This window comes from Homo sapiens, chromosome 19 (genome assembly GCF_000001405.40).
Source record: "Homo sapiens chromosome 19, GRCh38.p14 Primary Assembly".
Classification (NCBI taxonomy): domain Eukaryota; kingdom Metazoa; phylum Chordata; class Mammalia; order Primates; family Hominidae; genus Homo; species Homo sapiens.
The window spans coordinates 6658375-6680632 of NC_000019.10; the positions used below are offsets into that span (position 1 = coordinate 6658375).

Below are 22258 nucleotides of genomic sequence, written 5' to 3' on the forward strand. Positions count from 1 at the left end.
GAGGTTTAGAAACCAGGAACGGCGGTGGGAAAGTTAAATCGACCCTGTCTGGGTGTTTTGGGAACATAGGATTACCTAAATCAGTTAAAGGTCCGATTGGCTTAGGAGAGCTCTATGGGACCAGGATTTTTTTCTGGATGGTGAACATAGTTCCAACATTAAATCCTGAGATATAAAGCCTTAATCCCCATGACATGCCATAATACCATTGAGCTGTACCAGGGTTATGGATAGTTGTAGGAAGAGGGTTGCAATTTCTCATAGTACACAGTCTAGGATGGGAAGTGCGAGTTATGGAGAGGGTTGAGGACTGGGTTGATCCTCCAGGGTAAGTGGCTAGGGTTACACAGGACCAGCGAGGGCAGAAAAACTGATAAGAATCTTGACAACTTCAGTCAGGGTGATTTCCAAGACAGAGGTAAAAGTCAGCCTCCTGGAGTCCTTTTTCTGCACCTTTAGAGCTTCCACATGCAGTCCGGCTTCCTATGTGTCCAAACCCTGCTGCAAGGTCGACGTTCCCTGTTCCCATGACCGGCAGATTGCGTTGCTCTTCACGGGTGAGGGCAGGCTCTGGGAACAAAGCACATAAATCGACTGCAAAAGAGACTTCCTTGGAGGTCCCCGCCTTCCAGGTGGTGATTGCAAACACACGTCCTGTCGTGAAAGAAGTAAGGAGAAAAGAGTAGGAAGGAGCAGAGGGCATGACAGGTGGAAACAAACAAAAGAGGTAAATAAAAAGAATTAATCCAATGGCTTCACTCGACTTAGGTGCAGTTTTAAGGGGCCCGACCCAGGCTTGGGGTCTGTGCTGGGGTCTTGCTTGGGGTCTTGCTGGACTTTGTTGGCCTTTTTGATGTGAGAGTGATGAACCCAAGCAGGAATGCTGTCCACTTTCAGATCTGTCGGCATGGTGAGGATGACAGTATGAGGTCCTTTCCAGGCAGGAGTGAGTCCTTCCTTCTGGAACTTTTTTTTTTTTTTTGAGACGGAGTCTCGCTCTGTCACCCAGGCTGGAGTGCAGTGGAGCGATCTCGGCTCACTGCAACCTCCGCCTCCTGGGTTCACACCATTCTCCTGCCTCAGCCTCCCGAGTAGCTGGGACTACAGGCACCTGCCACCACGCCCGGCTAATTGTTTTGTATTTTTAGTAGAGACGGGGTTTCCCTGTGTTAGCCAGGATGGTCTCGATCTCCTGACCTCGTGATTCACCCACCTCGGCCTCCCAAAGTGCTGGGATGACAGGCGTGAGTCACCGCGCCCGGCCGAGAAATTTTGTAACATGCGTTGGAGAGGGCTCCAATCTCTACAGGGCTGGGAAGAAGAGTTTCCCATTCTGGAGGCAATTAACAAGGTTTAAGCAGAAATATAAAACCCAGCACGGACAGAGAAATTCACGGCCTAGAGGGCTGCAGTATCGGAAGAACAGAGGTAGATGTGCGGGGTAAGGGATGGGGATGAGGAGGAAAAGGGGCCACTCGGATCTTCTCAGGCTGGGAGGAGCCGTGCTGGGCAGCGCTGGGTCGCCAGGACTACTCCGCAGTCCCCCCGCCCCGCCTCCAGGCCCCGTCAGGCGCTGCAAGCCCAGCTCAGAAGCCCGGGCCCGGGACCAAGGTCACCGCAGCAGTCCGGGCCCCTGCGTTCTGAGCCGGGTGCGGACGCGCCGGTAGTCGGGGAAGTCAGGGTCTTTGACGCCTGAAGGCGCAGGAGCGGGGGTCCCTGGGGGAGAGGGTCCAGCACCGTCACCTCCCACTCCTCATCCGTGGGTTGGGGAGCCCCTGCTGTGGGGGAAGGAGGCTGTTTCGTTTGTAAACTGGCGGAGGAGTGGCCCCTGGGCCTGGCAACCCGAAGAGACACGCCTGAGACCCCCTGTAATAGAAAATCTGCACTAAAGGACTTTGAAGAAGTCCTTGCCCAGTCGTCTTGGGCAATATGGGTGACCTGACCCATGAAATTTAGACAGACACCAAACAGGACAATAGACACTAAACAGGACAATAGACACTAGGGTATATAGACAATTATGACAATTTTTATAGACAGACAAGGGGTGGGGGTCCCGTGATGGGATCAGTCAGATGCCCGCCTGGCCACTCCCCTTGTGAGGACTCAGGCTCCTCTTAGCTTTGGCAGGCCGGTATAAACGCCCGTTCAGATCCAGCTATGCTCAATGCTGCCCTAAGCCTTATGAGGTCACCACGGAACCACAGGTGAGGGCCCACTCGAACTCTGTAGCTTTTGCCGTGGAGCTACAAACTGAAAATTCAAGCGCGAGCCCTTGACCTCCACATTCACTCACTCACTCACACAGAGTTTATTACAATTCTTCAATACCCGTTTTAAAACAGAGGTCTCCTTGAGACCTCAACGAGAGGAGAAGAGATAGAGAGAGAGAGAAAGAAAGAGACTAGTCTTACAGAGATGCCTGACAGAAACCAGGACTCTGTCCTCCAGCATCCTGGAATTTGGACAGAGTCAGAGGGATGCCCTCATCAGAGCCGCTTCCCTCCCAGAGAAACAGAGTCAGACAGAAACCAGGACTCTGTCCTCCAGCGTCCTGGAATATGGACAGAGTCAGAGGGACGCCCTCATCAGGGCCACCTCCCTCCCAGAGAAACAGAGTCAAATCTGACTTACCTTCCCGGGACCAGACACTGAGGACTCAGGAGTTGAATTTGGTTGAGGACACCGGCAGCCGATCCGTTCCCCTCTGGAAGACGGTGGCCTACACGTCCCTGGAACGTCTTTAGGTGGCGCCTCCCCTATAAGCTCGCCGTCTGTCCAGGGGAGCCCGGAACGGGTCCAGATTTCACCCGGTGGCGGATCTCGCTGTGGCCTCCAAATGTTGTAACTGAGTGAGTTATAGAGAAATGCCACACTCTTAGACTAATTCAGGAGTCCTTTATTAGCCGGCGACTGAGAGACGGCTAGCGCTCAAAATTCTCTCCACCCCAAAGAAGGGGCTAGGTTTCTTTTTATACCTTGGTTTAGAAGGGGAAGAGGGAGCCGAGCTGAAGCAATTTTACAGAAGCAAAACAGGCAAGAAAGTGAAAAAGATAAATGGTAACAGAAAAACAAACAGTTCCAGGTGCAGGGGCTTTAAATCTATCACAAGGTGATAGACGCGGGGGCTTTGGGTGCTATCAACCGGACGAATTCCTGGGAATTGTGGATATAGCTTGTCACAGTATCTTATCAGTAATCGCATTCTTGGATGTGCTGGGAGTCAGCTTAAGTCCTTGAGGAAGGGGGGTGGGTGAGAGACTGCAAGCGAAGAAGCCAAAATAGAGTCTGCCTGGCCCTCTCAGCTAAGGGAGAGTCAATCACGTTAAACACAAGGTAGGGTATCACATTGGAATTACAGGCATGAGCCACTGCACCCAGCCGACATCACCATCCTTCCTGACTCTGAATTTATATACTACTAACCAGCAATCATTTTCCTCCACCTATTCAACACAGAAGTACCTAACAGTAAAAGATGAGAGATACCTATCTGGCATGTGAGAAAATGATATATAGCTACTGACGGGGATTTCCTTTGAGGATGCTGAGTAAACTTCGTGGTGTGTGCCTGCATTTCCACTGCAATCTATCACATGTGATGAGTTGTGGAATTTCCCACTTGTGGCATCACACTGGGGCTCAAAGAGTTTCAGATTTTGGAGCATGTTTTTTTGTTTTTTGAGATGGGAGCCTTGCTCTGTCACCCAGGCTGGAGTGCAGTGGTGTGATCTCAGCTCACTGCAACCTCAACCTCCAGGGTTCCTGCCTCAGCCTCCCGAGTAGCTGGGGTTACAGGTGCCCCCCACCACACCCAGGTAATTTTTTGTATTTTTAGTAGAGATGGGGTTTCGCCATGTTGGCCAGGCTGGTCTGGAGCTCCTGACCTCAGGTTATCCGTCCACTTTGACCTCCCAAAGTGCTGGGATTACAGGTATGAGCCACCACGCCCGGCCTAGATTTTGGAGCATTTTGAATTTGGGATGGTGAATCTGTACTGTTGTTCCTCTCCCCCCACAACCATCTTGCCGATGGGGAAACTGAAGCATTGAGAGGTGATGGAAATTGCTGGAGGTCATATAGCTGGTGAGTGGCAGAGTGGACTCAGAACCCAGGATCATCTGATTGCAAAATCTGTTTCCTTCATCTCTGTACTGTGCAACAATGACAAGAATACTATTGGCGATAACAACAATAACCCACAAATTTTGACTTGTCATTCACAACAACAACAAAACAATAATAACAATACATTCACCTCTGGGGTCGAAACCCATATCCTAGAATCCTAGGAACTAAGGATTCCCTCCAGCCACACTGCAGCAATGCTCATTTGCATAGACCCTCTAATTTGTATGCATATCATTATCTGCCCCCACCCAACCCACCAGCTCCCTGTGTTTTATGCTTCCAGCTGGCTTGGCGGATTGTCATTCTGTCCTGGATGTGTCTAATAAGGGCGTCTTGCGGGATGTAGCCTCTACTTCCTCAGGAATTGTGGATTGGAGAGGAAGCCAGATCCAGACGTGAGGTCTCTGGTTTCCCCCACATTTCCTGCATGGACTTGAGCCAACTGGGTCCAGGTTCCTCATCTGTAGAATGACCTCCATGGGTCATTACCTCCATCCCTCTGCCTCTAGGAGCCACCACTTGTTGCTGATGGTTGCCCCCCATCCGACTCCTCCCTTTCCCTGTGGGGCTCTTTAGGCCTGACAATTCCTCTCCACCCTTCTTCAGTTTGTTCCCCTAAGAACTAGACAGATCCAGGTACAACTATTTGCCATTTATTTCAAAGATCAGTGGTTAAGAGGCCCAGGGTTATGAACAAGGTCTGGTCCTCACCCCGAGATGTGTTAGTCTGGGCTGGGGAGGGCCCTCAGGCTGTGTGTATATGTGTGTAATGTTGTGTGTTTGTCATTGTGATGTGTGTGTGATGTGTGTGTCATTGTGATGTTGTGTGTGTGTAATGTTGTGTTTGTCATTGTGATGTGTGTGTAATGTGTGTTTGTCATCGTGATGTTGTGTGTGTAATGTGTGTTTGTCATCGTGATGTTGTGTGTGTAATGTGTGTTTGTCATTGTGATGTTGTGTGTGTGTAATGTGTATTTGTCATGGTGATATTGTGTGTGTGTATGTGTGTAACCAGGTCTGACTATAACTTGGTCTGTCTGTGTCTAATGTAATGAGTATTAATTACCAAGTGTGACGGTGACACCTCTGGGAGTGGCTGTGTAGCTGGGATGCTGTCTGAGTTTTGTGTGCTTGTGTTATAACATACACACAGTGCTGTGACTGTCTGTGATGCCGTCTGTGACTTCCATGTGATTGTGTGGTTGTGCATGAATCTGGCACTTCGCGTGTATGAGTCTATAGTTGTGAAAGAGTGGCTGAGATTATGCAGCCATGTGACAGATTTTGTGGGATGCCATAGGTGTGACTGTAGAGTCATTCTTCCTTCCTTTCAATCAGCAAGCATTTCCCTAGAGCATGCTTTGTGCCAGGCCCTGGGCCGGATGCCGGGGACAGATCCGTGGTGTCCTATTAGGGATGTCTATGCTTGGCAGTGATGAAATCAGCCATGGTGGTAGCATTTACACCATGGAAATTGGCAAACATTACAAAGCTGTCCCCCTCCCAGGACAGCTGGTTGTTAAACAGTTATGAGCACGCTGCCGTGCTCATGTATCTGAGTGTAACTCTTTGTGACCAGGCTGAGGTGTGGCCACCAGTCTGTGGGTGGGATCTGAGTATGTGGGGTGGGGCTGGGCTCTTCATGATGAGTCCCGATGATCAGTCTCCCGCCCACCCTGTCCGTACTCATGATGAGAGTAGGGAAGTGGATGAAGTTTCCCACCCCCAGCCAAGTCCCTGGAATCCCAAGCCCCACTTTCTTCTGAATCAAAAGCATAAATACCCACCCCTCACCCCTTCTTCCTGAATATCAGGCAAATCAACTTTACCCCATGTTTGGGGGCCCACAGACCCCAAGTCTCTGGGTTTTTGTCCTTAGTATTGTCCGTGGCAGGGTCTGCAGTCTACGTGGGTCTTCTGAAGGTGCCTGCTGGGGCTTCATCTCGCCTTGGTGGTGCCCACTGAGCTCTCCGCCTTTGAGTTTTGGGTTCCCTGGAGTGTCCCCCAAGATCTGTTTCCTGAGTTTTCTTTTTTCTTCCTTTCTTTTTTTTGAGGCACAGTCTCACTGCGTTTCCCAGGTTGGAGTGCAGTGGTGTGATCTCGGCTCACTGCAACCTCCGCCTCCCGGGTTTAAGCAAAATTATCCTGCCTCAGCCTCCTGAGTAGCTGGATTACAGGCAGGCACCACCACGTCCGGCTAATTTTTGTATTTTTAGTAGAGATGGGGTTTTGCCATGTTAGCCAGGCTGGTCTCGAACTCCTGACCTCAGGTGATCCGCCTGCCTTGGCCTCCCAAAGTGCTGGGATTACAGGCGAGAGCCACCACGCCCAGCCTCTGCTTCGTGAGTTTTCTTTCCCCTGAGGCACCCTCTGAGTTCTCCACGTGTCAGACCCATGTCCAATGCACCACGCTCCTTCCTTCACACCATGAAAGCCCCGAAGTAAGACCGGGTACCATCACGCAGTCGAACCAGGCGTTCATCCAGCACACGGACGACCACCTTCTCCCCAGCCTCCAGGTGTACCACACCACCCAGGAAGCTGCTGTCCCACCAGACCCGGGAGCTGCTGGTGGCCCGTCCGCAGGGTGACTGCTGGCTGACCAACAGCTCCAGCTCCTCGGGGTAGCGGGGTGTGCGCTTGTAGAGGCCGTGGGTGATGGTGCTGGCCAGGCCCAGCGGGCAGCCCACACCGCCCAGCTGCACCTTGGAGTAGATGTAGTAGTAGCCAGCTTTGGTGACCACAAGGGCCCCATCGTGGTAGCTGAGGCCCCTCAGGAAGGCCAGGCCCAGCTGAGTCTCCCATAACAGCGGCCCCCCGCTGCCGGTCAAGCTGGAGTTGGCCCCTGTTGGGAAGAGAGAGACAAAGGGGGCTGCCGGTCAGCACATGTCTTCCTCTGTTGCTTGTTTGTTTGTTTGTTTGACACAGAGTCTCGCTCTGTGGACCAGGCTGGAGTGTGGTGGCATGATCTCGGCTTACTGCACCCTCCGCCTCCCAGGTTCAAGCGATTGTCCTGCTTCAGTCTCCTGAGTAGCTGGGACTACAGGTGCCCGCCACCGCACCCAGTTACTTTTTGTAGTTTTAGTAGAGATGGGGTTTTGCCATGTTGCTGAGGCTGGTCTTGAACTCCTGACTTCAGGTGATCCACCCGCCTCGGCCTCCCAGAGTGCTGGGATTACAGGTGTGAGCCACCACGCCCGGCCTCACATGTCTTACTCCTGCTGTGTGACTCCAGGCCAGTCACCACTAGGCTGTTTGTGTGTGTGTGTGCATGTGTGCGTGTGTGTGTGTGTGTGTGTGTGTGTGTGTGTGTGTTTGTAGAGGTGGGGGTCTCACAATGTGGCCCAGGCTGGTCTCGAATTCCTGTGCTCAACCGATCCTTCAGGCTCCCAAGTGCTGGGATTCCAGTCATGAGCCACCACCCTGCCTAGCCTGTTTGTATGTATTAATTTGCTTTATCCCTGCTTTGCAGAGGAGGGAAACTGAGGCACAGGGAAGCAAATTAACTTGCTTAGTCTATATCTCAACTCTTTGCATCCCTCTTTTGCAGGTGGGGAAACTGAGGCATGGAACCGTTAAGTGATTTGCCAAAAGTGTCAAAACTTGGCTGGGTGTGGCGTCTCACCCCTATAATCCCAGCACTTTGGGAGGCTGAGACAGGAAGATCCCCTGAGCCCAGGAGTTTGAGTCCAGGAGTTCCAGATGAAGTAACATAGGGAGACCCTGTCTCTACAAAAAACAAAAAAATTAGCTGGGCATGGTGGCAGGCACCTGTAGTCCCAGCTGCTGGGGAAGCTGAAGTGGGAGGATCGCTTGCACCTGGCAAGTTGAGGGTGCCGTGAGCCGTGATAGCACCACTCCAGCCTAGTTGACAGAGTAAGACCCTGTCTCAAAAAAAAAAAAAAAAAATGTCCAAACATGCAAGTTTGCAAAACCAAGAAACCAAAGCGGCACCTCGTACTCGCTGTGTGCCTCAGTTTCCCTCTCTGTAAAATGCGCATATTAATAGCACCTGCTTGGAATGTAATGAATTAATATGTAGAAAGCGTGTCACAGCACATAACACAGCATAAGCACTATATGAGAGTTCATTAAATTAATAAAACTAGGCCGGGCCCGGTGGCTCACGCCTGTAATCCCAGCACTTTGGGAGGCCAAGGCGGGAGGATCACCTGAGATCGGGAGTTTGAGACCAGCCTGGCCAACATGGCAAAACCCTGTCTCTACTAAAAATACAACAAAATTAACCGGGTGTGGTGGTGCATGCCTGTAATCCCAGGTACTTGGGAGGCTGAGGCAGAAGAATCGCTTGAACCCGGGAGGCGAAGACTGCAGTGAGCCGAGATCATGCCACTGCACCCCAGCCTGGGCAACAGAGTGAGACTGTCTCAAAAATAAATAAATAAATAAATAAATAAATAAATAGAAATAAAAAATAATAAAATAAATAAAACTGGAAATACATAGCACTTGCAGCCTATGTTCTGAGCAACTCTGTGAGTAAATAAGCAATGAATGAATGAATACACTGATATGTATGGCGTTTATCTGGTCTTCCCGAGACGCCCTGACCCCTGCCCCTTGCCAGGATCCAGGGTCCCTCTCACCTGTGAGATGCGCTGCTGGGTTGACCTCGTGAGACCTTCGCTCTGGGGAAAGAGGGTCAGAGGTTAGAGACGAAGACAGTGGAGGTAAAAAGCCAGCCTCCTAAAGGGCCACCGTGTACACCTCCTGGAATCAACCCCACCCCTTCCGGAGTGACCCAAACTTCTGCTTCTCAGGCCTGGGGGAGGGGCACCTGTGAGGATTTGGCCAGTTGTGCAAATCATATTGGGCAATTGACCGAGGGGTGGGGGTGGCATGGGAATCATCACACCTCCTTCCCTGGGGCCAGGACCCTGACTCACCTTGTATCAGCTGCTCCCAGGAGCCTGCAGGTCCGTCCTGAAAATGCAGAAGGGGCCTGCGGTAAGAACCTGCAGCGGGGGCCACGCCCTCGCATTGCTCACACATGGCTATGAGACATGAGGACCATAGCCACCGACACCACCCTCAGACACGTACACAGGGCCACATACTCTCACTTGCAGACACACACCCCCTGTCCAGAGGCCTCACAACCACTTGGTGCCTCAGTTTCCCTCTATGTAAATGGAGTTACGAATCGTGTCTGCTTGGCGTTTAATGAATTCACATATGTAAGGCATTATTACAGTGCTTGGCACATAGTATGCACTAGAGAAAGGTTTAATAGGTCGGGTGCATTGGCTCACACCTCTAATCCCAGCACTTCGGGAGGCCGAGGTGGGCAGATTACCTGAGGTCAGGAGTTCGAGACCAGCCTGGCCAACACAGTAAAACCCTGTATCTACTAAAACTACAAAAATTAGCTGGGCCTGGTGGTGGGTGCCTGTAATCCCAGCTGCTCTGGAGGCTGAGGCAGGAGGATCGCTTGAACCTGGGAGGTTGCAGTGGGCCCAGATTGTGCCACTGCACTCTAGCCTAGGTGACAGAGTGAGATTCTATCTCAAAAAATAAATAAATAAATAAAAGGGTTTAATAAATAAATAACATTGCCCAGAGCAGTGGCTTACACCTGTAATCCCAGCACTTTGGGAGGCCAAAGTGGGAGGACAGCTTGAGGCCAGGAGTTTAAGACCAGCCTGGGCAACACAACAAGACCTCATCTCTACAAAAAATTTTTAAGATTAGCCAGGCATGGTGGTGCATGCCTGTAGTCCCAGCTACTCATGAAGCTGGGACAGGAGGCTTGCTTGAGCCCAGGAGTTCAAGGCTGCAGTGAGCTATGATCGTGCCACTCCACTCTAGCCTGGGAAGCAGAGTGAGACACAGTCTCTAAGATAAATAAATATGTAATTAATTAAATAAATAAGTAATATTTAAAAATACAGGGACAAGGCCAGGCGTGGTGGCTCACACCTGTAATCCCAGCACTTTGGGAGGCTGAGGCAGGTGGATCACTTGAGGTCAGGAGTTCGAGACAAGTCTGGCCAACATGGTGAAACCCCGTCTGTACTAAAAATACACAAATTAGCCAGGCACGGTGGCGGATGCCTGTGATCCCAGCTACTGCTCAGGAGGCTGAGACAAGGGAATCACTTGAACCTGGGAGGTGGGGTTGTAGTGAGCCAAGACTGCACCACTACACTACAGCCTGGGCTATGGGAGAGAAACCTTGTCTCAAAAAAAAAAAAATGCAGACAGCGAGATGGCTGGACACATGGACACCACCCTTGGGATATAGCACCTGCCACAGGGCACAGACCTCAACATCATCATGACGCTGAGAAGACACATGTGGGCTCAGATGCGTGGACATGTGGTTTGTGGTTTATGGATCCATGTGCGTCTACAGACACAGAGACCCAGAGACAAAGACAGACAACGTGAATACACCGGCTGCAGCTAGGCGGGTGTGTGGACATGTGGGTACACGCACATACGTCCACATGGGTATATGGACACGAATGTGTGGCCACCGGATCCAGACCCAGGACACAAAAGGGGCCAAGCCCACAGGGGTATGGTGTTGGGCACACATAGACCCCCAGGTGAGGCACACAGACAGGCGGACACATCCACAGCCAGCTGGAAGCAGACCGAGAAATTTCCACAGATGGAAATGGTCAGAGAATTAATGACAATCGCAGTAACAGTAATAAGAGTACCAGAGAAGGCCAGGCGCAGTGGCTCACACCTGTAATCCCAGCACTTTGGGAGGCTGAGGCGGGTGGATCTCCTGAGGTCGGGAGTTTGAGACCAGCCTGACAAACATAGAGAAGCCCCATCTCTACTAAAAATACAAAATTGGCCAGGCGTGGTGGCGCATGCCTGTAATCCCAGCTACTCGGGAGGCTGAGGCAGGAGAATCACTTGAACCCGGGAGGCAGAGGTTGCGGTGAGCAGAGATCATGCCATTGCACTCCAGCCTGGGCAACGAGAGTGAAACTCCGTCTCAAAAATAAAAAAGTACAGAGAAAATGCATGCGTGTGTGCACAGGGGTGTGCATGGCAGTGTTGGGGTGTCAGTTCCGACGGGTGGAGCTGGCATCGTCTGGTACTACACATGCCATAGCATACTTCGTCCCCTATGAAGAGACTGCCCTTATTTTGTAGATGAAGACACTGAGGTTCAGAGAGGTGAATTCACTTGCCCAAGGCTGGGAGCAGCAACCAGTCAAGCCAGCTGCTCTCAGCCTGTGCCCTGTCCTACACACACACACACACACACACACACACACACACACAGACACACAGTGACCCACAATGACACAGGGGAGCCCCCCTCACCTCCACCTGCTCTCAGCCCCCCGGTCCCACTCACAGGCAGGCGGGTGACCATCTCTCCTAGACGCCAGTGCAGCTGCAGGAGGAACCAGCCTTGGACGGCCAGCCCGGCCCCCATCAGCAACAGCAAGAGACCCAGACCCACCCGGGCCACACTGCACGACTGTCTCCGGTGGCTTCGTCCCAGCCTCGTGAATGGGATGTCGGTCTGTCCATCCACCACAAACACTGAGGGCCGTACGACACTCTCCTCCATGCCCAAGGTGTCTGGAGCAGGGCTGACACGCCTGGGTCCTTCAACCTCAGAGGAAACCGAAATTGCTCAACACTCCTGGGCTGTGCACGCTGCGGACAGGCACCCGTGGGCCGCCTTTAGAGCTGGGGTTCAGCCCCACCCCTTCCCCCACTCACCCTCCTCTTCTTCCGGTACCCGCCGCCCCCGGTCTTGGCCCTGTCTCACTCTCACTCATACAGACTCTCACACTTTCCAGAGGCTTCTGAAAATGTGACTCAGGTGGCAAGTGCAGTGGGGAGCCCCCAGCTTTCCCTTCTTGGATGCTTCATTCGCTTGGGGCCACCAAATATCGACTGAGGACTTTCTGCCCATGCCAGGCTCTGCTCTCGGTGTGGGGGATGCAGCAATGAACAACAGCAAGAAGGGTCCCTGCTCCTCTTCTGGTGGAGCCAGAGAGACAAGAAACCTCGTAAACAAGAAAATAATACGTTGTGGGTTTTTTTGTTCGTTTATTTGTTTTGTTTTTGAGATGGAGTCTCGCTCTGTTGCCCAGGCTGGAGTGCAGTGGCGCGATCTCAGCTTACTACAACCTCCACCTCCTGGGTTCAAGCAATTCTCCTGCCTCAGCCTCCCAAGTAGCGGGGATTACAGGCGCGTGCCACCACGCCTGGCTGCTTTTTGTATTTTTAGTAGAGATGGGTTTTCACCATGTCGGTCAGGCTGGTCTCGAACTCCTGACCTCAAGCGATCCACCCACCTCAGCCTCCCAAAGTGCTGGGATTACAAACGTGAGCCGCACCATGCCCGGCCTTCTGTTGTGTTTTGATGTGACAAGTGCAGTGAAAAACACAAGAGTGGAATAAAGGAGTGGATGTGTGCTCTGTGTGTGTGCTTGTCTGCATGCATATATGTGTGCAGTGTGTGCATGTGAATGTGTGTATTCAGTTGTGTGCATGCAAGTGTGTATCATGTACACATGTGCAGGCGCATGCCTGTGTATCATACATGTGCTGGCATGTAAATGTGCGTGCATATGTGGGCAGGTGCATGCATATGTGTATGGTCATCTGTGTGCATGTGCATGTGGTCCATGTACATGCATGCATGTGCACGTGTGTGTATGTGTGAACATGCATCACATGTGCAAGTGGGTGTGCATATATGTGCTGTGTGCAGGTGTGTGCATGTGTGTGTGCCTGTGCATTGGTGCGTGTATGTGTGTGTGCGCACTTGCACGGGTGTGTTCATGTGTGTGGGGAGGTCCATGTATGAGTGTGCATGCATTCAAGCGTGGATTTTTTTTTTTTTCGAGACGGAGTCTCGCTCTGTCGCCCAGGCTGGAGTGCAGTGGTGCGATCTCGGCTCACTGCAAGCTCCGCCTCCCAGGTTCACGCCATTCTCCTGCCTCAGCCTCCTGAGTAGCTGGGACTACAGGCGCCCACCACCGCACCCAGCTAATTTTTTGTATTTTTAGTAGAGACGGGGTTTCACCGTGTTAGCCAGGATGGTCTCAATCTCCTGACCTCGTGATCCGCCTGCCTTGGCCTCCCAAAGTGCTGGGATTACAGGCATAAGCCACCGCACCCAGCCTTTTTCTTTCTTTTTTTTTTTGAGGCAGAGTCTCACTTTGTCACCCAGGCTGGAGTGCAGTGGTGCCATTTTGGCTCACTGCAACCTCTGCCTCCCGGATTCAAGCAATTTTCCTGCCTCAGCCTCCTGAGTAGCTGGGATTACAGGCGCCCACCACCATGCATAGCTAATTTTTGTATTATATGTTGGCCATTATATATGTTGTAACATATATGTTGTCTATATGTTGGCCAGGCTGGTCTCGAACTCCTGACCTCAGGTGATCTGCCCACCTCAGCCTCCCAAAATGCTAGAATTACAGGCGTGAGCCACTGCACTTGGCTTCTGTCTTGTTTCATAAGTATCTTTGTAATATCCTTGATTTTACCTCTTGGCCCTGAAAGCCAAAAACACTTATGTGGCCCTTTATAGATACAGTTTGCTGCCAGCTTGCCCCTGAGCTTAGGCTAAGACACGAAGTGCCCTTCACTGGGGCCTCTGTGGTTGGACCCTCGTGCTTTTGCTCACTCTGCCCCAGACAGATATCCTGGGTCTTTGCACTTCCTCTTCCTGCTGCTGGGAACCATCTTCCCTAGATCTCCAAAGCAGGCTCCCCCTGCTCATCTGCGTCTTGACTCAAGAAACTTCTCACAGGAGCCCTCCCTGAATTGGTCAGGTGTCTCCCGAGAGACAGAACCAATAGAAGATACACAGAGAGATAGAGATGGGATCTATAGGCTGGGTGCGGTGGCTCACGCCTGTAATCCCAGCACTTTGGGAGGCTGAGGCATGTGGATCACCTGAGGTCGCGAGTTCGAGGCCAGCCTGGCCAATATGGGGAAACCCTGTCTCTATCAAAAATACAAAAATAAAAAATAAAAAATTAGCTAGGTGTGGTGGCACACTTCTGTAATCCCAGCTACTTGGGAGGCTGAGGCTCAAGAATCACTTGAACCCGGGAGGCACAAGTTGCAATGAACTGAGATTGTGCCACTGCACTCCAGGCTGGGCAATGGCATGAGACTGTCTCAAAAAAAAAAAAAAAAAAAGAGATCTGTAGAGACAGACAAAGATACAGAGTCAGAGAAGAGACAGACATGGAAAACTAGAGAGACAGGGACACAGAGATACAAAGACAGACGGAGAGAGAGAGAGAGAGAGATGTATAGAGTCAGAGAGAGTGTGTAACACATTTATTTTAAGAAATTAGCTCACACAATCATGGGAGTTGGCAAGTCTGAAGTCCACAGGACAAGCCAGTTAGGCTGGAGGCTCAGGTAAGAGGTGACACTACCGTCTTAAAGCCTAAAGCCTGGAAACTCAGGCAGAATTACTAAGTTGCAACCTTGAGGCAGAATTCCTTCTTCAGGAAACTTCGGTGTTTACTCCTCAGACCTTCAACTGATCAGGTGCGGCCCACTCACATTACCTAGGCTCATCTCCTGTCCTGAAAGTCAACTGTGGTTGTTGACATGATCTGAAAATTACCTTTCTAGCCAGGTGCAGTGGCTCACACCTGTAATCCCAGCACTTAGGGGGGCAGAGGCGGGAGGATTGCTTGAGCCCATGAGTTTGAGACCTGCCTGGGCAATATAGTGAGACCCCGTTCTCAACAAAGAGGAAAAAAAGAAAAAAGACAAAAAAGTAAAGAAATATAAAATACTTTTCTTTCTTTCTTTCTTTCTTTTTTGAGACAGAGTTTTGCTGTTGTTGGCCAAGCTAGAATGCAATGGTGCGATCTTGGCTCATTGCAACCTCAGCCTCCCAGGTTCAAGCGATTCTCCTGCCTCACCCTCCCGAGTAGCTGGGATTACAGGCATGCGCCACCAGGCCTGGCTAATTTTGTATTTTTAGTAGAGATGGGGTTTCTCCATGTTGGTCAGGCTGGTCTCGAACTCCTGACCTCAAGTAATCCACCCACCTCAGCCTCCCAAAGTGCTGGGATTACAGGCGTGAGCCACTGTGCCCGGCTAAAATACCTTTCTAGCAACATTTAGACTAGTGTTTTACCAAATGACTTCATATAGCCTAGCTTTGTTATCACATAAGTTAGCCCTCATGCCACTCAATCTAAGTGATCTTCTTAACCGCTGGACCCACTGCATGGGTGAACTTTTCTTTTTGGACATCCTCACCATCCAAAATCCATTCCACACTGTCTTCTTTTTGGGGGAGCCGGTGTGGGGGATGGAGTCTCGCTTTGTTGTCCAGGCTGTAGTGCAGTGGCCCGATCTCAGCTCACTGCAACCCTCCGCCTCCCAGGTTCATGCGATTCTCCTGCCTCAGCCTCCCGAATAGCTGGGATTAGAGGTGCCCGCCACCACGCCTGGCTACTTTTTTGTATTTTTAGTAGAGATGAGGTTTCTCCATGTTGGCCAGGCTGGTCTCAAACTCCTGACCTCAAATGATCTGCCCACCTCGGCCTCCCAAAGTGCTGGGCTTACAGGCGTGAGCCACCACGCCTGGCCCCATGCTGTTTTCATGAGTCCTATCCTGCTCCCCCTTTTAGAATGTAAGTTTCATAAGATCCTATCTGCACCGTTCACAGCCTCAAGTGATAGGTTTTAGCTCAAAATAAAAGCAAACACAAACAAAAGCACCAAACACCCCCATATGTTGAAGAAATGAATCAAATGAATCCCAAACAGGAGAAAGGGGGAGTGAAGGCCAGGTGCAGTGGCTCATGCCCGTAATCCCAGCACTTTGGGAGGCCGAGGTAGGTGGATCACCTGAGGTCAGGAGTTCGAGACCAACCTGGCCAACATGGTGAAACCCCACCTCTACTAAAAATACAAAAATTAACTGGGCGTGGTGGTGGGCACCTGTAATCTCAGCTACTTGGGAGGCTGAGGCAGGAGAATTGCTTGAAGCTGGGAGGCGGAGGTTGCAGTGAGCCGAGATTGTGCCACTGCACTGTAGCCTGGGGGACAGAAAAAAAAAAAAGAGAAAGAAAAGAAAGGAGGAATGAATAAGAAAAGAAAAAAGAAATGAGAAGAAGGATGTGAAGTAGAGTGGTGGTCTTGGCAGATATCAGCCGGGATAGCCAGTGAGTTGCAAGGCATTTGACAGGAGGCTTTGTCATTTAGGAGCTGGATGGAGTAGGGTAGACTGTGAATCTATTTCGCCCATACCCCTGGAGTTGTGGGGTGTCTTAGGAAAAGAGGCTGTGGAGGCGTGACTTTCAGCCTCAGTGGGTGTTTCGTGATGATGTGGTGCAGAGCTGGGAGGCTGCATCCCACCCTCCATACAGACACCTTCCCAGTCCCCAAAGGACCAGAGGTGCAGTGAGAGGAGGTGCTCAGGGCCCCAGTCCCCTTTAGCAACAGCGCCCCTGCTCTCCAAACCCAAGGCTGCTGCTCCCCAAGCAGCGCTGTCACCAGAAAGCACTTTGTGTGCCGTGACCACAAAGCCCCCGCACTCCCTCCCTAACTGCTGACTCATGTCTTCCCCTCCCTGGGGCTCCAGCCGGAAACACTGCCCTGCCTGCCAGCCCCTACTGCCTCCTCTCGGGTTCAGTCACCAGACACAGCTCACCCCAAAGCATGGATTCTTGGCTCAGGCCCATCTAGAAACGGGGTCTGGGAGAGTGAGGTGAGGCTGCAGGAGGGCAGAAGGGATGCAAATGAGGACAGGTAAGGATGCAGGTGAGAGGGCAGAGCAGGTCTGCAGGTTGATGGTGATGGCGAATCTACAAGGACAGATGCCGGGGGAGGTGCAGGTAATGAAACCGCTTTTGCAAAATCATAACTGAGGAAATTATGACGCTGAAAGAAATCAGACCTAAGCGTCTCCGTCTTGCTTCTAAGCTTCAAGCTGTCCTTGTTCTTTCCTGGGCATAGGCCGAACTAACTTTGGGAAGGAATTCAGTTCATGGTTTGGCTCTGAAACAAAATTGGTAACAGCCCTTTCCCGAAAAGACCCCCTTTTTGCCTGGGGACCAGTCTGCCTTTGCAGGACTGACAAATTAGCTACAAGATTAGAAATTACAGTTTAGGGGCCATACAGCCTCTGGCTCCAAGAGTCTGAACCTCCCCAAATTGCTCCTGGGGACAACATCACTATTGTAAAACCTAAGATCAGTGCTCCAGATATGTTGCAGACCCTGAACTCAATGGATCAGCTGACACCATCGAGACCAGTAATCTGACCCCTCCAGTTCTGTGATCCCACCCAGGAACGGAAGACAGAAAACCTCACCTGGACCCCCTATGATTCCAACTTCAACCTCACCAATCAACACTCCTCACTTCCCAAACCTCTACCTGCCAAACTATTATTATTATTATTATTTTGAGATGAAGTCTCGCTCTGTCACCCAGGCTGGAGTGCAGTGGCGCAATCTCGGCTCACTGCAACCTCCACCTCCCGGGTTCAAGCGATTCTCCTGCCTCAGCCTCTCAAGTAGCTGGGACTACAGGTGTGCATCACCACGCCTGGCTAATTTTTGTATTTTTAGTAGAGACGGGGTTTCATCATGTTGGCCAGGCTGGTCTCGAACTGCTGACCTCAGGTGATCCACCTGCCTCGGCCTCCCAAAGTGTTGGGATTACAGGCATGAGCCACTGCGTCTGGCCCACCAAACTATCTTTAAAACCGCTGATCCCCAAATGCTCGAGGAGACTGATTTGAATAATAATAAAACTCTGGTCTCCTGCACAGCTTGTTCTGCACGAATTACTCTTTCTCCACTGCATCCCCCGTCTGATAAATCGGTTCTGTCTAGGCAGCGGGCAAGGTGAACCCATTGGGCAGTTACAGTAAGAAGATAGGTAAATCTGCAGGTGAGAATGTAGGTGAGAATGTGGGCAAGAACCCAAGAAAATACCTAGAAAAGCATGCAGGTAAAGATGCAGGTGAGGACCCAGATGAAGATGCAGAGAAAATACACTCACCGGAGAGGATGTAGGTGGAAAAAGGTGAGAATATAGGTAACAATGCTGTTAAGGTAAAGATACAGGTAAGCTTAAGATAGAGATGTAGGTGTTGGGGCCAGGTGAGGATGCTAAAAAACAAAAACAAAAAACCCTGGCGGGGCACGGAGGCTCACGCCTGCAATCCCAGCACTTTGGGAGGCCGAGGCGGGCAGATCACCTGAGGTCAGGAGTTCGAGACCGGTCTGGCCGACATGGTGAAACCCCGTCTCTAATAAAAATACAAAAATTAGCCAGGTGTGGTGGCCGTGTGCCTGTAACCACAGCTACTCGGGAGGCTGAGGCAGGAGAATCGCTTGAACCCAGGAGGAGGGGTCACAGTGAGCCGAGATCGCGCCATTGCACTCCAGCCTGGGCGACAAGAGTGAAACTCCATCTCAAAAAAAAAAAAAAAAAAAAAAAAACAGAAAAACCCACAAAAACAAAACAACAACAACAAAAACCCATACATGGATTCAGCTGAGGGTGCAGAGGAGTGAGCAGGTAAAGATTCAGATGAAAATATTGGTAACATTGGGAGCAGGGAGAACATTAGGGAAAAGACCTAATGCATCCTGGACGTAATAACTAGGTAATAGGGGGCTGGGTGTGATGGCTCACGCCTGTAATCCCAGCACTTTGGGAGGCCAAGGCGGGCGGATCGCTTGAGATCAGGAGTTCAAGACCAGCCTGGCCAACATGGTGAAACCCCGTCTCTACCAAAAATACAAAAATTACCCAGGCAAGGTGGCGGGCGCCTGTAATCCCACCTACTCAGGAGGCTAAGGCAGGAGAATCACTTGAACCCGGGAGGTGGAGGTTGCAGTGAGCCGAGATTGTGCCACTGCACTCCAGCCTGGGCGACAGAACAAGACTCTGCCTCAAAACACACAAACAAAAAACCTAGGTGATGGGTTGATAGGTGCAGGAAACCACCATGGCACACTTGACCTATGTAACAAACCTGCACATCCTGCACATGTACCCCGGAACTTAAAATAGTAATAATAATAAAATAAAAAAAAATTGGTAAGATTAACAGGTGAGGATGCCGGTAAGTGAAGAGGTGAAGGGGCTGTGAGCTGCCGGTGAGTGTGCAGGTGAAATGGAGGTGAGGCGCAGGTGCATGCCACGTGCAGGTGAGGCAGGTCCATGCTCCTTGGCTAAAGAAGTCAGCACACTAGCAGGCGAACGCCAGGAGAAAATGCGGTGGGAACAGGTGAGGTTTCAAGTAGGATGGAGCTGAGCTGCAGGTGAGGCGGCTGGGGATTTCAGCCTCTCCCTCTTGGCAAAGAACTCCAGACACGTGAGATATAACTGAAGCTTTATCTGGAGTGGGGGAATGGGGGTGTGGTCAGTTGGGGCACCCAAAGACAACCATGCTCTCGGTGAAGGCGCCGAGGTCCTGGCATTGTTTCTGGTTCTCTTCGTCTTGGCATTCGTCCTCCTCGGGCCAGTGCTCCACCCAAGTGTCCTTCCCGATGATGTAGCTGAGGCTGGAGGGAAGAATGGCAGGTCAGGAAGGGGCGTGGTGTGGGCGTGGCGCAGGGGCGTGACAATGGTGTGGGCGTGGCATGGGCGGGGCAGTCGGGCGGTCGCGCGCACGCGCAGGGAAAGCACTCACTTGGGCTTCTCTCCCCAGAAATCGGAGGAGAGACCCCACATGAGGTAGTGTTTCTTCTCCTCCAGCTTCAGGGCTTCTCTGCACTTGATGGGGCTGATGAACGTGCGCTGCTGTCCAACCTGCACCTCATCCGAGCCTGGAGTGGAGGGGAGAGGGAAGAAGCTGAGTCGTGGGGAGGAAGCCAGGGAAGAGCCACGGGAGGCAGCGTGCTGAGCCTGACCTGACTTGATGGTCTGCTCAATGGCCATGATGTACTCGTCAAAGTCATTGGACAGCTGAACCTTGACCAGTCGGGTCTTGTACACTGTGGGGGAGAGGCAGACAGTTTGGGTGGTGGGCTAGGTTGACCATGAGGGGCACCCTGGTTTGCAAGTGCACCCGGGCATGTGGCTCTCTCTCCCAAGCAGAAAGTTGCAGAATCACAGCCAGTCACACTATGGCCCACCCCTCATTACACACACAACCATAGAGGGTCCCATGTCACCATCCACACACAGTCGTGCTCATAGGCATGCACAGAGGTCACAGCCACCCACAATGTCTAGTAACATACTATTCATACTATGCAATGAGAGTGACTCATATGCACAAAATACTGTAGCCTCATGGCCATGCACACAACCATAGCCACGGAAAACTACAGTCATATACGTAACTTCAGGACCTCACACTCACTGCCATCTACAACCACACAGCCTCACACAACCACAGCCACACACAACTACAACCTCACAGCCACCCACGCAATGATGCATACAACCACATCTACCTTTTCTCACATGAGCATACCTAGGCCACTCACAGTCATGGTTCCCCACACAATCATGGCCCCTCACAATACATGCTCTCACACACACCACAGTCACCCACACCCACAGCCTGAAGCCACACCATGACAACCACACCTACCACCCACCACACAATTGGACACACACAGCTAAACATGCGTGACCCCCACCCATCACCCACTCACCATAGTCCACTCCTGGCTCACAGGCCTTGTCCAGCCGTTCTTCCAGGGTGACCTTGTCATCCGACTTTTGTATGAAGCAATTCTCTGCAGGGTGGGGTGGAGACAGGGTCTAAGTCCCACTCCTTATCTGGGGCCTACTGCCCATGGGTGTGGCCAGCCCTGGGAGCCTACCCCCCTTGGTATCCCCTGGGTATGGGTCTGGGGGTCCCTGACCATGGGATAGATGACCTGGGTAAGTGTGGCTTGCTCAGACCCACCTGTTCCCGGCTCCAGGGAACTCACCCTCAGCACAGCGGCACAGTTCATCACGGCAGAGCTTGTTCAGCTTTCCATCCTCCTTTTCCGGATGGTAGAACCGGGTACAGCTTTCCTCTGCGGGCAGATGTGATGTGAAGATGAGAGGATAAGGGCCTCCCTCCAAAGACCATGCCTGGGAGGCCCAGATCCCCAGTTCTCAGTCTTCAGACCTGGAGATGCTAGGTCTTCAACCCCTCAGATCCCTCAGACCCCAAGACCCCCTCTACTTTCTGATCTTTGGGATTCTCAGACCCTTGAGTCTCTTAGACTCTCAACTCACAGAAGCCTGGGACCCTCAGACCCCAAATTCATAGATTCCTGGGACACGCAGGCCTCCAACCCTCATATATCTAGAATCCTTAGACCCTTATTTTCAGAACCCCCTGCAACTCACATATTCCTAAGACCCTGAGACCCCTGAACCCATCAGACCCCCAAGTCTCAGATCCCTAGAACCAACTCATAGATCCTTGGGACTCTCAGACCCTGGGACCTTCAGATTACTAATCCTGAAATCCCTGGCCTGCTTAGACCATCATTCTCAGATCCCCTCAGAACCTCAGAACCTCAACTCATAGATCCTTGGGACCCTCAGACCCGTGGGACCTTCATACTACGAATGCTCAAATCCCTGGACTCCTTAGACCTTCATTCTCAGATCCCCACAATTCATATATACCTGGGACTCTCAGGCCCCTGGAACCATCAGACCCCAGGCCCTAGGTTGGCTGCTCACCCAGGTTGTAATAGGCGTAGACCTTGACTGCTCCAGGCTGGATAAGCTCTACATTAAAGTATTGGTGAACTTTGAAAGCTAGACAGTCATCCTCAGAGTGTGAGACCTGAGGGGGAAGGAGGAGCTTGGTCAGTGGGGTGATGTGGGAGGGAGTCCAGCATTGTCTTGGGAGCTGAGGCAGTGGTGGAGAAACTGAAGGATCAAGGAGGAAGTGGCAAAGATGAATGAGCAATTCAGCAAATCCATTTACTTTTCTTCCTAGACTCACAGTGAGACTACCTTTCTCAGCTCCTCTTTCAATTAGGTGTGGCCAGGTGGCTGAACAGATTGCTATCTATGCCCATAAAAACAACCCATGCACAATCTTATTTCCATCTAGAATGAATGAATCCTGCAGAGAACTACAGAAGATCCTAAGGATTGCAGAGCCACAGGATGGAAGGTGCTTGGATCCCTGAGAGACTACATGGAGCAG

The 22258-nt window shown here is 51.5% G+C and overlaps 2 protein-coding genes across 4 annotated transcripts in view, besides 8 other annotated features; both read right to left on the bottom strand.

Moving 5' to 3' along the window:
• Positions 1-2878: 2878 nt before the first annotated feature.
• Positions 2879-12214, bottom strand: TNFSF14 (TNF superfamily member 14). 3 transcript variants are annotated; one of them, NM_003807.5, is made up of 5 exons: positions 11922-12214; positions 11477-11784; positions 9039-9075; positions 8739-8780; positions 2879-6976 (listed from the first exon to the last, which is right to left on the bottom strand). In NM_003807.5, the coding sequence occupies exons 2-5, from the start codon at positions 11693-11695 to the stop codon at positions 6552-6554; spliced, it is 723 nt and encodes a 240-aa protein (NP_003798.2). In that variant the 5' UTR covers positions 11696-11784; positions 11922-12214; the 3' UTR covers positions 2879-6551. The 3 variants fall into 3 exon arrangements, with proteins under 3 accessions (NP_003798.2, NP_001363816.1, NP_742011.2); NM_001376887.1 differs by lacking the exon at positions 11922-12214 and having other exon boundaries at positions 11477-11786; NM_172014.3 differs by lacking the exon at positions 11922-12214 and having other exon boundaries at positions 11585-11784.
• Positions 10306-10395: an enhancer, noted in NCBI's record as "active region_13854". NCBI's record gives its function as "activates an Ori minimal core promoter by ATAC-STARR-seq in GM12878 lymphoblastoid cells {active_cell/tissue: GM12878}" and the evidence as "EXISTENCE:reporter gene assay evidence [ECO:0000049][PMID:35858748]".
• Positions 10456-10645: an enhancer, noted in NCBI's record as "active region_13855". NCBI's record gives its function as "activates an Ori minimal core promoter by ATAC-STARR-seq in GM12878 lymphoblastoid cells {active_cell/tissue: GM12878}" and the evidence as "EXISTENCE:reporter gene assay evidence [ECO:0000049][PMID:35858748]".
• Positions 11546-11635: an enhancer, noted in NCBI's record as "active region_13856". NCBI's record gives its function as "activates an Ori minimal core promoter by ATAC-STARR-seq in GM12878 lymphoblastoid cells {active_cell/tissue: GM12878}" and the evidence as "EXISTENCE:reporter gene assay evidence [ECO:0000049][PMID:35858748]".
• Positions 12016-12245: an enhancer, noted in NCBI's record as "active region_13857". NCBI's record gives its function as "activates an Ori minimal core promoter by ATAC-STARR-seq in GM12878 lymphoblastoid cells {active_cell/tissue: GM12878}" and the evidence as "EXISTENCE:reporter gene assay evidence [ECO:0000049][PMID:35858748]".
• Positions 12816-12915: a silencer, noted in NCBI's record as "silent region_9960". NCBI's record gives its function as "represses an Ori minimal core promoter by ATAC-STARR-seq in GM12878 lymphoblastoid cells {active_cell/tissue: GM12878}" and the evidence as "EXISTENCE:reporter gene assay evidence [ECO:0000049][PMID:35858748]".
• Positions 15999-16575: an enhancer, noted in NCBI's record as "H3K27ac-H3K4me1 hESC enhancer chr19:6674384-6674960 (GRCh37/hg19 assembly coordinates)". NCBI's record gives its function as "activates a minimal SCP1, AML or CMV promoter by ChIP-STARR-seq in primed H9 embryonic stem cells {active_cell/tissue: H9 hESC(primed)}" and the evidence as "EXISTENCE:reporter gene assay evidence [ECO:0000049][PMID:30033119]".
• Positions 16576-17150: an enhancer, noted in NCBI's record as "H3K27ac-H3K4me1 hESC enhancer chr19:6674961-6675535 (GRCh37/hg19 assembly coordinates)". NCBI's record gives its function as "activates a minimal SCP1, AML or CMV promoter by ChIP-STARR-seq in primed H9 embryonic stem cells {active_cell/tissue: H9 hESC(primed)}" and the evidence as "EXISTENCE:reporter gene assay evidence [ECO:0000049][PMID:30033119]".
• Positions 16640-16749: an enhancer, noted in NCBI's record as "active region_13858". NCBI's record gives its function as "activates an Ori minimal core promoter by ATAC-STARR-seq in GM12878 lymphoblastoid cells {active_cell/tissue: GM12878}" and the evidence as "EXISTENCE:reporter gene assay evidence [ECO:0000049][PMID:35858748]".
• Positions 19330-22258, bottom strand: part of C3 (complement C3) — a 42947-nt gene continuing 40018 nt past the window's right edge. The window contains exons 36-41 of the mRNA NM_000064.4: positions 21784-21889; positions 21033-21122; positions 20751-20834; positions 19998-20081; positions 19778-19913; positions 19330-19649 (exon numbers count right to left, since the gene is read on the bottom strand). Of these exons, the coding sequence (NP_000055.2) occupies positions 19508-19649; positions 19778-19913; positions 19998-20081; positions 20751-20834; positions 21033-21122; positions 21784-21889 (642 nt within the window). The 3' untranslated portion in view covers positions 19330-19507. The remainder of the gene's footprint in view (positions 19650-19777; positions 19914-19997; positions 20082-20750; positions 20835-21032; positions 21123-21783; positions 21890-22258) is intronic.